At 42.9% G+C, this 17,000-nt stretch overlaps 1 long non-coding RNA gene across 1 annotated transcript in view, besides 2 other annotated features; it reads left to right on the top strand.

The window, feature by feature from the left end:
• Positions 1-17,000, top strand: part of KCNJ6-AS1 (KCNJ6 antisense RNA 1) — a 222,067-nt gene that overhangs the window by 9,679 nt on the left and 195,388 nt on the right. The gene's annotated exons all lie outside the window — the stretch shown is intronic.
• Positions 4,745-4,974: an enhancer, noted in NCBI's record as "active region_18452". NCBI's record gives its function as "activates an Ori minimal core promoter by ATAC-STARR-seq in GM12878 lymphoblastoid cells {active_cell/tissue: GM12878}" and the evidence as "EXISTENCE:reporter gene assay evidence [ECO:0000049][PMID:35858748]".
• Positions 5,085-5,134: an enhancer, noted in NCBI's record as "active region_18453". NCBI's record gives its function as "activates an Ori minimal core promoter by ATAC-STARR-seq in GM12878 lymphoblastoid cells {active_cell/tissue: GM12878}" and the evidence as "EXISTENCE:reporter gene assay evidence [ECO:0000049][PMID:35858748]".

Genomic DNA, 17,000 nt, shown 5'->3' on the forward strand with positions numbered 1-17,000 from the left:
GGTAGGGGTCCCCCGAACAGTCAAATTGACCAGTGGTCTTGCCCGTAAAGGGTGTTTCTGGGATCAGAGGGAAGAGGAGGATTAATGATTCCAGAACAACAAAAAGTCCTCAATTTCCACGTTTCTGGTCTTACTCTTGGAATCCAGGGTCGCCATTACCATTATGGAATATGGAGGAACCCCCTTTTTGGGCTTGTAGAAACCCACAGACACATTTCTCAGGGGCTGGGCCATGTGTGCATTCTTCCCCAGTCTCCTTCCCACTCCCACTGGCCGTGTCCTGGCCTGGCCTTATCTTTGGCTGGACTCATTGTTATAATGCGTGCTGCTGGTGAAGTGCTCACTATGTGTGAGTCTCTGTGCTGAACAGTCCACTTCTTCCTCGCTCTGGGACTTTGGGCAAGGTACTTAAACTATCTGGGTCTCTGTTTCCTCATCTGTAAAATGGGGATGAGAATGTCACCTTCCCTATAGGTTACTATGGGATCAAATGAGTTAATACACTTGACACTATCAGAACAGTGCCTGCCGCATAGTAGGGCTTCATGTTCGTGGTTCTAATAGCCTGGGACATAAGGACTGTTACCTGAGATTCCATAATACACCCAAGGCCACAGAGCTGCTGATTTGAGAGTGAGGGTTCAAACCCAGGTTTGCAGACTAAAGCCAGGCTACTTGACCATTACCCCAAACCGCATCCAAGCCATGCCCACCCCCTCCCCTGCTGTCTCCCCATGCCCCTGTGCCCCGGCTCCATCCGTTACCTGATGAGCAATGCAGACATTTCCCTCTTCTATTGAAAGTCCTATCCCTGTCATTGCCATATAACCTAAGAGTCTGGACAAGTCATTCCCTAACTACCCTCAGCCTCCTGCACTCCAGCTTTATGGGCCTCTCAAATGTGCCTCCTCTGGCACTTGCTTCTGGCTTGAGCTTCTGTGATGCTTTCCTGGTCCTCACCAGCATCACATCCATTCATGGCCCGTGGTCCCATCTGTGTTGCCCTGCACTTAGTTTGTGTCCTTAGTCTCCACACCCCATAGCTGGTGTCAGAGTCAACAATGTCTCTCCCCTTTTCCTCCTGAAGGCAGGAGCTGTTTCTCCTCCTTCTCCTACCTCTAGTGCATGGTGCGCATTGGATGGATGGATGGATGGAGGGAGGGAGGGAGGGAGGGAGGGAGGCATGGAGGCACTTGCTTCTTAGGAAGGAAGACAGTTGGCTGGACCAGTTAGATCTCTTTCCAAAAGCTTTTTGAAGTTACTTTTTAAAACTGTGCTAATAGAGCTGGAAGGGACTCCCTCAAGCAGGAAGTTGCTGAGGGAGCCAGGGACTAAGAAACACCATTTCACTCTTGTACCTGAAAGAGCTTTCTCGGCTTGGAGTGGGAAACCACAGGCTGCCATCCCCAACTCTGCTGGTTTTAGAGAAACACAGTCGGGAGGCGCAGCTCCCCCATTCACCGACACCCTTTGGGGCAGATACTTTTAGTTTTGTTTGGGCAGAGAGGAAGCTCGGGGCTGGGGACTGTCATGGGTGGCCGTGTGTGCAGCTCCAGCACCCCAGATTGGTCAGGGTTGAGGGAGCTGACTGAGGTGGAGCTGTGCCCATGGCCAAGGGCAAGGGCCCAGGGTTGGTTCAGGTGGGTGGGCTTGGGCTGGCCTGAAGGGGGCAAGAGTGGACATTTGGCCACCAGGAGAGAGGGTGAAGGCAAATAGAAAAATATGAGTTGCATCAGGGAATTTTGGCTTTTGAACCTAAAGCCAATTTTTTAAAAAATGATCAAGTTTCTTTGCTTCTTTGAATATTTAACAAATAGTTATATGTGATGTAAGCCTGAATTGTGAAGAATCTATGATTATAAAGAGTTAGGGCTTGAGTAGCATGCCCCATCTAGTCCCAGATGTCATCCAAAAGGTCACAGGATGGGCCGGATGCAGTGGCTCATGCCTGGAGTCCCAGAGATTCTGGAGGCCAAGATGGAAGGATTGCTGGAGGCCAGGAGTTCAAGACCAGCCTGGGCAACAGAGTAAGACCTTGTCTCTGTTAAAAACAAAAACAAACAACAAAAAACACACATAAAATTATTAGCTGGACCTGTTGGCACATGCCTGTAGTCCCAGCTACTCAGGAGGCTGAGGTGGGAGGATCGCTTGAGCCCAGGAGTTCGAGGCTGCAGTGAGCTGTGATGGCACTACTGCACTCCAGCCTGGGTAACAGAGCAAGACTCTGTCTCTAAATAAATCAATAAATGAAACCAGGATGGCTAAATAGTAGCAAGCAGAGGCTTACCGGCAGTATCAGTTTGTGGCATGTACCGAAGGCGATATCCAGGGAGAGGGGAAGGACAGGTTGGGTTTTATGCCTCATGGGGCCCGTATCACACAATGGAGTCACAGATTCAGCAGGTCTGGGGGAAAAGCTATACATATTTCCAAGGGAGATTGAGCGCATGGGCAATAGGCAAACGTGTAACATGCATCCCATGTCCACTTGGGGGTGAGGTTCTAGCATTAAAATGAGGTGGATTTGGCTTTTGACTTCAAAAGGTGAGCTATAGGGCACAAAGTTGGTGCACACCCTGTCGGCGCTCAAGCTGGCCCCGGGTCTGCAGTGTTATGAGGAGAGCCGGTAGGGCCGCCCTCGGTCCCAGCAGAGTTGTAATGGTCTGTGTTGTAAATCAGAGTTAGGAGGGGTCTGACAACTTTCCTGTTAGTGCGGAGTTTAGCCCCAGTGTGGTTTGTCCTGCAGCTCAGGAATCTAGGGGGTTGCCTGCCCACTGAGCTTAGACCCTGGAGCCCAGGGAGCTCTTAATTGACAGAAGGGTGTCCTTTTGGTCTCAGATCATACCGGTAACGCTCCTGCCAAGCAGCCCTGGACAGGGGCCCAGCCTACCGCCAGGAGCCACCTGTCAAACGGCGGCTTAGGGGGTTTAAAAAGGAAATTAATCCCTCTTCAAGACCACATAGATAAACCTCTGGTTGGGAGGTGACAGCAAATCTTATCAAAGCAAATTGTCTAGACGTTTCGAGGAGCTCTAGGACGTGGACCTGCTCAATCTTTCTAGAAAGGCCTGCGGCTGCAGGGGCCAGGTTAAGGGGCCCCTTAACCTGCTTCAGAAGAGGCAAGACTGCGTCCTTCCCCGCTGCCCACTGGGACTGACTTGGAGGCCCGAGGAAGGATTTGTTCCCGCAGGACCAAGTTCCCTCAGGCCACACCAGCCTGGGAACCAAAACAGGATTGCAGTGACAGAACACAGCGTCTCTGGCTCTGCGCCTACCCTGTTCTTGCTGTGCCCCCAGCGCTCTTGAAGCTGTGTCCTTCCCTGCCTGCCTCCCTCCAGCTGGGCCCCCCTCTCCAGCCACCCTGTCCTGCCCTCCTTCCCTCCCTGCCTGGGTCTTGTGGCTGCGGAGGCCAGAAAGTGGAGTGGCCCCTATGTTACCACAAGTCCCGCAGGGCAGAGGAGGGGAGGAAGGGGGCGCGCAGGAAGCCTGGGAACACCCACCCTTCAGGGCTCAGGACAACCCCACTCCTGGACAGCCTCCAGCCCTGGCAGCGACAATCCTGGGCCCCGCCCAGTACTGCATGGGCACTGCCAAGACAGAGCTGGACACATGCCCACGGGGTAGAGTTTGATTTGGGGGCCATTTTTGCCCCTTTCTACAATGACGTTTTCTCTGACAAAATTTAGACTGTAATTTAAAAAATAGTTTCTGACTGTGATGAGAAGGAAAAGGCAACATGCTTCCCAAACTAAGAGTATTTGAAGACTTTTTGAGTTCCTGTAATAATATACCAACTTCGCTTAGATTTAACAATTGTTTTTTGCTGAAACGTGGTATTTCCAAATTACTTCAGTCTGCATCTCTAAAAAATGACATTGTCTTGCTTATCCATTAATACCATTATCACACCTTAAAGAGAATTAAAATCATTCCTTACTGGTGTCAAACACTTGATCCGTATTCAGTGTTCCCATTGTCCCCAAAATATTTTACTGCCAGTTTGTTCAAACCAGGATTCAATTAGGGTCCACGTGTTGTGTTTAGTTCGTTTCTTACCTCTCCTTAGATCTAGAACAGTTTGCTCTCTGTATTTTGGGTAAAAGAAAAATGTTCCCCAGCACTTTAGGAGGCCAAGGTGGCTGGATCACCTGAGGTCAGGAGTTCGAGACCAGCCTGGCCAACATGGTGAAACCCTGTCTCTACTAAAAATACAAAAATTAGCCAGGCTTGGTGGCGGGCACCTGTAATCCCAGCTACTTGGGAGGCTGAGGTGGGAGAATCGCTTGAACCCGGGAGGTGGAGGTTGTAGTAAGCCGAGATTGCACCACTGCACTCCAGCCTTGGCAACAAGAGTGAAACTCCATCTCAAAAAAGAAAAGAAAAGTCTTCCCCAGTCTAATGTTTTTAATGGTTTCATATTTTTCACGTAAATCTTTGATCCATTTGGAATTTATCCTATTATTATATATTGTGAGGCATGGATTCAATTTTATATTTTCCCAAATGGCTGGCTGGTTGTTCCAACACCACTTATTAAAAAGTTCATCTTTCCCCCATCTTAGTTAAAGATTCACATTGATCACTTATCATATGATAACTGTCGTGATTACTTGGGTCTTCTTCTGAACCTTCTAATGTGCTGTGTTGGTTTGTAAACCTCTGCACATGCCACTCCTACCTGGCTTCAGTTACAGAGGCTTCTGGGCCGTTTCAATACTTAGCAGGCAGGTGCACCTCATTTCATCACGTTTCTCTTCGGGGTTTTCCTGCTTACCCTTGCTTTTATTCACACACACACATATATATACACACACACACGTATACAAGTATATATAATTAACTGGAGTTGGGGGAATTAGCTGATAAGAGAACTGGCTAAACAATGTAGGAATCACCAATGCACCCAGCAGTCACTACACCTGGAACTGATCCTGAGCACCCAACGAAGGGCCACTCCTACCCGCACCCCTCTGCTAAGACCCAGACCTCGTGGAGAGGGCTGCCGTCATGACTCATTCATGGGAGAGGGTGTGATCGTGACTCACTGGACGACAGAGGAGCTTGCTGAGGTGCTTCCCCAGCAAGACGTGACTGAAACCCACCCTCTGCTGTGGGAATTGGCCCCCGGGGAGGTGCCACGTCTCAGAGCTCCCTGCTGGCTGCCTCGGGCAGTGCTGCAGAAGTCCCTGGGGGGGAACCTGTCTGGCTGCAGGCTCTCCAGCACTGCTCGTGGGAGGGTGATTGGCAGGTGTCCCATGGTCAGTGCTGTGCTGTGCAGTCACTAGGGTATGTGCCCAGGTAAATCCATCCGTGGGTGTTTCTCCTGCTGGCACTGGCTGGAAGCCACCCAGGGCTGGGGCTGTGCCATGGAGGCCGCTCATGGGGGGACTCACTGCTGGAATGCCCAGGAAGCAATCCAGGGAGAAGCGACCAGCCCGCAGGACTGAGAGGCACTGATACCAAGTGAACTGAATTAATAATATGGGTGAAGTGTTCGTTTCATTTTTTTTGAGAGGGAAAATAAAGATTCTTGGTTTCATTCTAACTACCTACTCACTTGCCAAATTGTTAGGGGGACTAGTGGCACTCTTAGTGTAGACTCTCAAAAACAGCTCAAGGATATTAAAGGACCTATTTTAAATGTAAAATTTGACCCGTTTTTTAAAACTTATATTTGTAGGTTCAGGGGTACGTGTGCAGGTTTGTTATATAGGTAAACTCATGTCATGGGCGTTTGATGTACAGATTATTTTGGCACCCAGGTATTAAGCCCAATGCCCAATAGTTATGTTTTCTGCTCCTCTCCCTCCTCCACTCTCGGGTAGGTCCCAGTGTCTGTTGTTCCCCTTTGTGTTCATGAAAACTTGATCAGTTTTGATGTATGTATACCCTTATGTCATCACACCACTATCAGAATGTCAATTTCATCTCCCCAAAAACTCCCTGTTCCCATTTCTGGTCCATCTTTCTCTCTGTCCCATTCCTAGGCAACCACTGATCTACTCGTAGCATTTTCGATTGGTTAAAATAATATAGGAAAATCAATGCCTGAGAATAGCGAGAAAAGCACAAGGAAGAAGAGCAATTAGGGGTGGGGCGACTTGCTTCACCAGATGTTGGAATATTCTTTGAAGCCACTGCAGTCTGATCAGTACGGTGTAGGTGCAGGAAGAGACAACTGGATTGGAGGAAGGACAGACCGGTTGAGACACAGCCCACTGCCTAGGAAGGGGACTGTGAAACAAGGAGCAGTTCTATCAGAGGCAGTCTGACAGGGGCCACCATGCATGGATACTTCTTTTAATGTGGTAGGGGCATGATTCAAGGATTGGCAGGATCCGAAGAGGAACAGGGTGGGCAGCTTCAGAGGAGGTAGCACTTGAGAAGGGTTTGGCATGATGCCTGCATTTGTTTGAGGACCAGTGCATGGGGATTAGGAGTTCAGGGAAGCTGTTCAAAGAACTGCATCAGCAAAGGTAGGAAGGTGTGAGTGGCATGCTTTGATGGAGGCAGAATAGTGGCCAAAGCTGTCCATGTCCTACTCTCAAGAGCCTGTGACTGTTAGGTTACATAGCGAAGGGGAATTATGGTTGCTGATTAGCTCGCCTTGAGATGGAGGGGATGAGCCTAGGTTATCTGGATGGAGCCAGTGTCATCACAAGGGGCTGTATGAGCAGAGGAGGAAGGCAGGAGAGGGAGACCCAGAGAGGCTGTAGCACGAGAAGGACTCGGTCCCATGCTGCTGGCTTTGAAGGTGGAGGAGGGGCCTCTAGAAGCTGGAAAAGGTAAGCACAGGGATTCTCCCCTTCAGCCTCCAGAAAGAAATGCCGTCCTGCCGACAGCTTGATTGGAGCTGAGTGAGTCCCATTTTGGACTTCTGACCTCCAGATAATAAGTTTGTGTTAATATCTGCTATGTACCAATAAAAACAAAAAATAACAGACTTAACAATGACAGCAAAAAATATTTTGTGTTAAGTCACTGACTTTGTGGTAATTTGTTACAGCAGCCACAAGAAACAAATACTAGCACAAAGTAGATCATATTGGTGGAAGAGTAAATCCAGTAGAAGGTGGGGAGAGATGAGGGCAGAGAGGGGATCAGGGCCCAGATCATGAGGTCCTTGAGTGTCACCCTGGGCGCTTCATTCCATTGGCAATGTCAAGGATTTCTGTTTAAGGACCATGACTTTGGCTGGAGGGTTTGGAGGCAGAATAGAGTGCACTCTTTGTTAGACATTGGTGTCATTTCCATCTTGGTGACGTCGCTCCTTAGAATACTGTTATAGGAGAGGCATTAATGAGTGTTGCTGCCATGGGATGTGAAAGGCTACACAGTCTTTACTCGACTTGCCCTTCTTATGCTTTTAATTTCAGGTTTTCTACAAAGTTTCACTTTACCTCCCCTTTTTATAGTCTGGCTTGACTTGGTGCCCTGAAGTAGAAGAGCTACAAGTGGCATCTGGGAGCCGTAAGAAAGAGCCACGGAGGAGAGGAGGACTTGGGCAGAAGGTGGCAGTGGGGGCAGGAGAGGTTTGCGCAGAGGGCAGATGGCTTCCTGCATCCGGGACCCCTTGGCACAGCATCTGTGACAGTCGTGGCCCATCTTGATCCAGACTCGAGCTAGAAAGCCTATGCCTGGCTCCTCTCAATACTCTGGAGACTATTCACGTGGCTCTCACCTCCACTGTCACCTCAGGGTTGAAGTAACCCAGGGAGTCTTTTCCTTATCATGAAAAGAGCCCAAACCATTCTTATTATTCATAATTATTATCATAATGATTACCTGGAAGTCTCTCATCTGAAGTTCATCTGACCCAATTTAATTAATGTCAGGGCTCAGGCAGGTCAACCCATGATTATTTTCGTGTTTACTCAAGTAGAATTTTTGTTTATTTGTTTCTGAGGCAGGATCTTGCTCTGTCACCCAGACTGGAGTTCAGTGGCACGATCTCGGCTCACTGCAGCCTCCACCTCCCAGGCTCAAGTGATCCTCCCACCTCAACCTCCTGAGTAGCTGGGACTGCAGGAGTGTGCCACCACACCTAGCTAATTTTTTCCTATGTTTTGTAGAGATGGGGTCTCGCTATGTTGCCTAGGCTTGCTCAGGGAGATTTTTGTTGTAGACAGTAAGCAACACAAGTATTTGTTATTCAGTGACACATTAATAAGCTTGGTTAAAAGCCCTGTCTATCTCCTTCAGTTCTGCTCTAATCTTAGTTATTTCTTGTCTTCTGCTAGCTTTTGAATTTGTTTGCTCTTGCTTCTCTAGTTCTTTTAATTGTGATGTTAGGGTGTTGATTTTAGATCTTTCCTGCTTTCTCCTGTGGGCATTTAGTGCTATAAATTTCCCTCTAAACACTGCTTTAGCTGTGTCCTAGAGATTCTGATACGTTGTGTCTTTGTTCTCATTGGCTTCAAATAACTTATCTATCTCTGCCTTAATTTAATTATTGTTAGAAATAAGTCTCAGAGTCCTAAGGAAAAATGAGCATTTAGACAAAGGATTTCTCAGCAAAGCAAATTTACTTCTATGCAGAAGGGTGTCTCCCATATGGCTGGTTGCCACGAGAGCACTTAGAACACAGGAGAGTAGAAGTTTTTATTCCTAATGCGACTCCTGCCCCTGTGTCCTTCCCCCATTGGCTGGGGTCAGACCGCACAATTTAAATTAGACCCGACTGGCTAAACGTTTAAACTTTCTTAGATAAGGTGGATGCATAATGGGAGAGAGGGGAGAGGAGGAAGGGGTCATCTGCGGGGAACTAGAGAGCCAGTCTTTTCCTAAATAAGGAAAGGAATGTGAGCTGTTGTTGATAACGCCACTGGTGCTGTGGCATGCCTGAGCATGTAGTAAAGTTAGAAAAAAAAGGGGAAGAAAGGTGGGGGGTAGTACTTGGAATTAAAGAATAAAAAGTTGAGCAGGCTGTTTGAAGAGAAACCTTGCCATATTTCACAGTTATTTACCCAGTAGTCATTCAGGAGTAGGTTGTTCAGTTTCCACGTAGTTGTGTGGTTTTGACTTAGTTTCTTAATCTTGAGTTCGAAACCTACATGTTCTGCACATGTGTCCCAGAGCTTAAAGTACAAAACAAAAAATAAAAGGGAAAAAAAAAAGCCCTGTCTATTCTAGGGGTTACTGTTTTGCACAAGTGCTGTTCTCAAAATCACAGCAGGCCTTGGACCATGGCGTGGTACTAGCAAGAGGCTGCTGCTTTTAAGTTCAGCAGATTCTCACTCAGCTCCATGCAGAGCAGGGCCCCAGCCTCCTGCTCACTCCAGGGAACCCTGGGCAGCCGCCCTGTGCTGACATGGGTGGGCAGTGGGGCTGCGGTGGGTTCTGAGGCAGGTGGCAAGGGACATGGAGAAAACACACCCAGGTCTTCAGGTCCTGCTGTACAAAATGTCGTTGGTGTTGTCTTTATTTTATTTTAATTTTTTTTTTAGAGATGGAGTCTTGCTCTGTTGCTCAGGCTGGAGTGCAGTGATGCAATCATGGCTCACTGCAGCCTCAGCCTCCTGGGCTCAAGCATCTCCCACCTCAGCCTCCCAACTAGCTGTGACCACAGGCATGCACCACCACACCCAGTTATTATTATTATTATTATTATTATTATTATTATTATTATTATTATTTGGTAGAGATGGGGTCTCAGTATGTTGCCCAGGCTGGTCTCAAACTCCTGGGCTCAAGTCATCTCCCTGCCTCAGCCTCCTAAAGTACTGGGATTACTGGTGTGAGCTACTGCGCCTGGCCTGGTGTTGTCTTTAATGTTTTTTGAATGTAGAAATGTTGATAAAGTTCTTGCTCTCAGGCTTTGTAACCCAGACTTTCCTACAAAGCCTGGTGCTCACCCCTGCCTTCCATCTTGCATTCAAGGTTGTGGGGGAACCCAGAACATTCTAGAACCGATCAACTCTTTGCCTTTGGTTCAGCACAAATTAGGCTCACTTTTGAGGGAATGTTCTTAAAATGCTGCTCCCTGGTTTGGTCACTGGCAACAAAACTGAAATCTGTTTTATTTTTATTTTTATTTTTGAGATGGAGTCTCACTCTTTCGTCCAGGCTGGAGTGCAGTGGCACGATCTTGGCTCACTGCAACCTCCGCCTCCCAGGTTTAAGCAATTTCCCTGCCTCAGCTGCCCCAGTAGCTGGGATTACAGATGTGTGCCACCACACTCGGCTAATGTCGTTTTTTTTTTTTTAGTAGAGATGGGGTTTCACCATGTTGGCCAGGGTGGTCTCGAACTCCTGACCTCAAGTGATCCACCCGCCTTGGCCTCCCAAAGTGCTGGGATTACAGGCGTGAGCCACTGTGCCCAGCCCTGAAAGCTGTTAGAAGGAGATGCCTGTGGGGAGTTGAGCTCATCAGAACTGAATTTTTTATTTGTTCCTTACTCAAAAGTAGCAGCTGTTTATGCTTTGAGGGTAATAATTCTGCTTAGTACAGTAAACAATTATTTAATGCCTAGTGTCATGTTACCCTGAGTCTAAAATAATTATCAATGGTAAGACGGACCATGAATTTATTATAACAGCTTTATAGGAAGAATTAAAAGAAACACCATGGCATAAATGGACCCATTGATTGTAAGACTGGTTCCAATATTAGAATCATTGTATTGTGAAAAAAAAGTGTGCTTTTGAGAATCGAGGGAAGAAGATATGTGTGGTGAGAGAAAAGGGCAAGAGTAGCCATAAAAATACGAATTCTCAGTATTAAAACCCATTTATGCCTAGTGTTCCATTATTGGAATGCTAAGCATGTGGGAGTTATTTATATCCTACTGCTGAAGGTCATCACCAAGGTCTGATTGCCTCAGGCATACATGGGTTAAGAACCCTTGCTTTGTCTGATGGCATTTCATATGTAGACTCCCTCATGCTCTTCCCATCCTTTCCCATGAGTCCCCAAAGTCTATTGTGTCATTCTTAATGCCTTTGCATCCTCATAGCTTAGATCCCACTTTTGAGTGAGAACATACAATGTTTCGTTTTCCATTTCTGAGTTACTTCACTTAGACTAATAGTCTCCAATCTCATCCAGGTTGCTGCGAATGTCATTAATCCATTCCTTTTTATGGCTGAGTAGTATTCCATCGTATATATATGCCACAGTTTCTTTATCCACTCATTGATTGATGGGCATTTGGGTTGGTTCCACCTATCTAGTTATTTTTGTAGAATAAATTCCTATAGGTAGAATTACTAAAAAGTGCATGCATGTTTACACTATAATGCTATTTCAAAGAGTCCTACTGACGGGGTTGTACCTTTCTCTAGACAGTATACCAGAATGTCCATTTCTATTTCAGCACGTACATTTCCCTCCCTCTTGTCATTTTTGCTTGGATGTACATACACTGGCTTGTGATAGGAGACTCAGTTTACATGTTTGTCATTTTTCCTATTAGGTTGTTCCTCTTTTTCATTGATTTCTTTCATTTTCATTATCTTAAAATTATAAAATATGTAATACATATAAAAAGGTATGAACACTCTACTTGTGAACTTATTTACTCATCAAACACTTAAAGATAACATTATTCATGCAGCCAAAGCCACTTCTTACTGATTTTTCAGGCGCTTTTTACATATTAATCACCCTTTGGCTGTTTTGTATATTGCAGATATGTTTCCTAGTTTGCCCTTTGTCTTTTCATTTGTCTATGATGTCTTTGACATATGAACATTATACGTTTTTATGCAATTATAAAGAATATGGTTTCCTTTATTGTTTTTTACTTTCCTGCCAGACTAAGAAGAACCTATGTGCTCCAGGATAATATAAACCCTCTCCAATATTTTTCTCGACTTTTAAAACCTTGTTTGCATTTAAATGTTCTATCTATTTGGAACAGACAGTATGTGTGTATGTGTGTTGAGATAAAAATATAACTTTATATTACCAAGAAAATTGAGCATTGAGGTTAGAATAAACTTACCAAGTTGGCAATCTGAAAGTATATCACCTTAATGAATGCATTTCTGATACGAATTGAACATTCCTAATCCAAAAACCTGAAATATGAAATGCTCCCAAATCCAAAACTTTTTGAATGCCAATATGATGCCACAAGAGGAAAAACTCACACCTGATCTCATGTAACAGGTCAAAGTGCAGTCAAAACTTTTTCATGCACATAATTATTTAAAATATTTATAAGATTACCTTCAGGCTATGTGTAATAGGTGTATATGAAACATAGATGAATTTTCTGTTTAGGCTTGTGTGGGTCTCATCCACAGGATATCTCATTATGCATATGCTAATATTCCAAAAATCAGAAAAAATCGGAAATCTGAGACACTTCTGGTTCCAAGCATTTTGGATGAGGGATACTCAACTTGTATTACTGGAGAGGTTGAACCTCTTCATTCTGTTTTTCTTGAGTTCTCTCTTTGAAATATTTTATTATACAAAAGTAATGTAATGAATTTATCTGTATTCATGACTTAGCTTCAACAATTGTCAACTTAATAATTCATCTCTATCTCTACCACTCCCCACCCTGTATTCTGTTGAACCAAATCTCAACATGTTATTTTATCTGTAAGTATTTCACTATGTGTCTCTAAAACATAAGCAAGGGCTTTAAAGAAATATAATCATAATACCATTATCATACCTTAAGATATAATTGTTTTATATTTTATTTTTATTTTAAGCTCTGAGGTACATGTGCAGGATGTGCAGTTTGTTACATAGGTAAACGTGTGCCATGGTGGTTCGCTGCACCTATCAACCCATCACCTAGGTATTAAGCTCAGCATGCATTAGCTATTTGTCCTAATGCTCTTCCTCCTCTCACCCAACCCCAACAGGCCCCAGTGTATGTTGTTCCCCTCCCAGTCTCCGTGTATTCTCACTGTTCACTTCCCACTTATAAGTGAGAACATGTGGTGTTTGGTTTTCTGTTCCTGCGATAGTTTGCTGAGGATAATGGCTTCCAGCTCCATCCATGTGCCATGCAAATGACATGATCTTGTCCCTTTTTATGGCTGCATAGTATTCCATGGTGTAAATGTACCACATTTTCTTTATCTAGTCTATCACTGATGGACATTTTGGGTTGATTCCATGTCTTTGCTATTGTGAATAGTGCTGCAATGAACATATGCATGCATGTATCTTTATAATTGAATGATTTATATTCCTTTGGGTATATATCCAATAATAAGCAATAATGGGATTGCTGGGTCAAATATAAGCAATAATGGGATTGCTGGGTCAGATGGTACTTCTGGTTCTAGATCTTTGAGGAATCATCACACCATCTTCCACAATGGTTGAACTAATATATATTTCCACCAACAGTGTAAAAGCCTTCCTATTTCTCTTCAACCTTGCCAGCATCTCTTGTTTCCTGACTTATCAATAATCACCATCCTGACCAGCGTGAGACGGTATCTCACTGTGAGTTTGATAGATATAATTGTTTAATATGATCACATATTAGATCAGTGTTTAAATTTCTCATTGTCTTATAAATGTCCAAATAAGTTTCATATGTTGGAGTTGGTTAATATAGCTCTAAATCTCGTTAATTTCATAGACCCCTTTCTATCTCTTTTCTTTTTCCTGCAATTTGTTTTGAATACATTATTTTTAATTTATTCCTTATTCTGTAGAATCTCCTAGAGTCTGGGTTTTGCTGATTGCATCTTTGTGGTGGTGTTTAACATGTTTCTTTTTCTTCTGGTTTTTTAGAAGATTGGTAGTTGGATCTAAAGGATTGTTCATATTCAAATGTGACGTTTGGGGGTCAGTTCTATAGGTAATATTGATCTCACCCTCTTTTTCCCAATATTTATTATAAAAAATTTCAAACATACAAAAAAATGGAAAGACCTGTATAGTGAACACTAATATACTTACCATCTTGATCATATAATTAGCATTTTGCTATATTTCCTTTATCACATTCTATTCATCTCTCATCTCTTTATCCATCCCTCAACCTTCTTATTCTTCTTTATTTCAAGTAAGTTTATCAGTAGAGTTCACCTATAAACACTTCAGTGTGCATATCATTAATTAGAGTTCACATTTATTTATGGTTTTTGTTTTTTAGGTAAAATATACAGAGAGTGAAATGCACAAATATTAAGTGTACATTTAACGTGTATTGACCTTTGTAACCAACACCTGTCAAGATACAGAAATTGTCATTACCCTAGAAAGATTCCTCATCCTCCTACTGAGTCCCTACCTGCAACACTCGGAGGCAACCACTATTCTGATATTTTTGCCACAGATTAATTTTGCTTCTTATGAAACTTCATATACTGGAAAACAAGTAGCATGATAAGAGATTTAAAACCAACCATTTTACTAACTACACTAAATGTAACTGAAATTAAAACTCCATTTAAAAGGTAGAGACTATCAGACTAGATAGAAGAGCAAGATTAAATGTATGCTGTTTACAAGAGACATGCTTTTGGTATAAAGACAGAATAATGAATTAAATGAAGGAAAAAGATATAATATCATGCAAATACTAACTATAGGAAAGCCAGATTAGCTTTCCTATAGTTATATCAGATTACCAGATATAAAGGAATATTAACAGAAACAATGAAGGAGCATTTTATAATGATAAAGAGCAATACGACAAGGAGATATAACAATCTTAAATGTATATGTACCTAATAATAGCTTCAGAAAACATGAAGCAAAACCCAACAGAACTATAGGGAGAAATTTCCACATCCACAGTTATAGTTGGAGATTTTAGAAATCTTCTTTCCATAATTGATACAGTTAGTACTCAGAAAATTAGTAAAGACAACAAAGGTTTGAATAATCCTATGACCAGTTTAACCTGTTTATCATTTGCAAAACACTACACCTAAAGGATATCAAATGCTTTGAAAAGGATTTTAAAATTTGTGAAATACAGCTATAACAGTGCATAGAGGGAAACATAGCTTTAAATACATATGTGAAATAAGAAGAAAAGTTTAACATCAAAGGTCCATAAAGCTTAAAATGCAGAGCAAATTAAAGCCAAAATAAGTAGAAGGAAGATAATAATAATATGAGCAGAAATTAATAAAATAAAAAAATGGGCTCAAACTCTTGGCCTCAAGCCACCCTCCCACCTCAGTCTCCCAGAGTACTGGGATTACAGGTGTGAGCCACAGCATCCAGCCTATACAATGGCCACAGAAGGAATAGAAAATCTGAATTGCCTTGTATCTGTTGAGAAATTGAATTTATGATTAAAAACCTTCCCACAAGAAAACACAAGGCTCACATTGCTCACTGGTCAATTCTGTCAAATACTTAAGAAATAAATAGTAACCCTATTATGCAGATTTGTTTGGAAAATGAACAAGAAGGAAGTACTTCCCAATTAATTTTATGAGGCCAGCATATCCCTATTTTAGATGGTTTAATGCATTAAATTTCATAACATTTTGAAATACTTAAAAATTTAAGAAAATATGTGCAAAAATGTAAGACAATATCTACCTATACATTGAAAACTAAAACATTTTCATGAGAAAAATTATGGAAGACCTAAACTAATGGAAAGATATAGCATGTTTATGGGTTGAAAGATTCACAATTGTTAAGGTATCTTTTCTCCCCAAAGTGATCTATGGATTCAACACAATCCCAATCAAAATTCCAGGAGGCTTTTCTGTTGGATTTGACAAGGTGATTCTAAAATTTTTATAGAAATGCAAATTTTTATAGAAATGTTATGGAATATCCAAAACAATTTTGAAAAAGAACAAAGTTGTAGAAATTATTCTACCTGATTTCAAGATTTACTACCAATATACAGCAATTGAGACTGTATGTAATGGTAGAGAGACAGACAACTAGGTCATTGGCATGGAAGAGTGACTCCAGAAATAAATCTGCTTTTAGATGGTCAATTGATTTTCAACAAAGGTACCAAGGTAATTCAATGGGGGAAAGGATATTCTTTTCAACAAATGGTGCTGAAACAACTGGAAATCCATAGGAAAAAATAAACTTCAACCATTATCTCATATCATGTACGAAAGCTAACTTGAAATGGATCCTTGGCCTAAATATAAGTGCTAAAACTATAAAATTTATAGAAAAGAACACAGAAGGCTGGGCACAGTGTTTACCCAAACAAAATGAAAACAGGCTTACAAAAAGATTTATCTTAGCCAGGTGTAGTGGCGCACACCTGGGCCTACAGTCCCAGCTACTTGGGAAGTTGAAGCAGGAGAATTGCTTGAGCCCAGGAGTTCGAGGCTGCAGTGAGCTATGATTGCACCACTGCACAGCCTCAGCAGCAGAGCAAGACCCTCTCTCTAAATAAAAGAAGAAAACACAGAAGAAATTACTTCTAGAAGAACCTTTACAACTTAGTAAGAAAAAGACAATCCAATTAAAAAGGAGGCAAGATACTCGAACATACATTTCACAGCAAAAGCAATATTAATGGGCCAGTAAATTCTTAAGAAAGTGTTCAACATTATTTTGCATCAGTGATACATACAATAAATTAAAACCGTAGTATTATACCTTTTATGGTTTTAATATGCATTTTAGTAGCATAGATCCTATTATACTCCAGGAGAACGGCTAAAATTAAACCCTGACAACAACAGGCGTTAAGGATGTAGAATCACACAATGCTCTTGCATCATCATGGGAAATATGAATTGCATATCAAGGTACAATTGCCATGGGAAAATGCTTGGCAGTTTCTTCCCAAGTTCAACATTCACCTACTCTACAACCATCAACTCTACTTCTAGATATTTATGCAAACATATAAAGTAATAAATATGGCTGGGTACGGTGGCTCACACCTGTAATCCCGGCACTTTGGGAGGCTGAGGCGGGTGGATCACCTGAGGTCACGAGTTCAAGACCAGCCTGTCCAACATGGTGAAACCCCATCTCTACTAAAAATACAAAAAATTAGCTGGGCATTGCGGCACTTGCCTGTAATCTCAGCTACTCGGGACGCTGAGGTGGGAGAATTGAACACGGGAGG

This window comes from Homo sapiens, chromosome 21, assembly GCF_000001405.40.
Source record: "Homo sapiens chromosome 21, GRCh38.p14 Primary Assembly".
NCBI classification, from domain to species: Eukaryota; Metazoa; Chordata; class Mammalia; order Primates; family Hominidae; genus Homo; species Homo sapiens.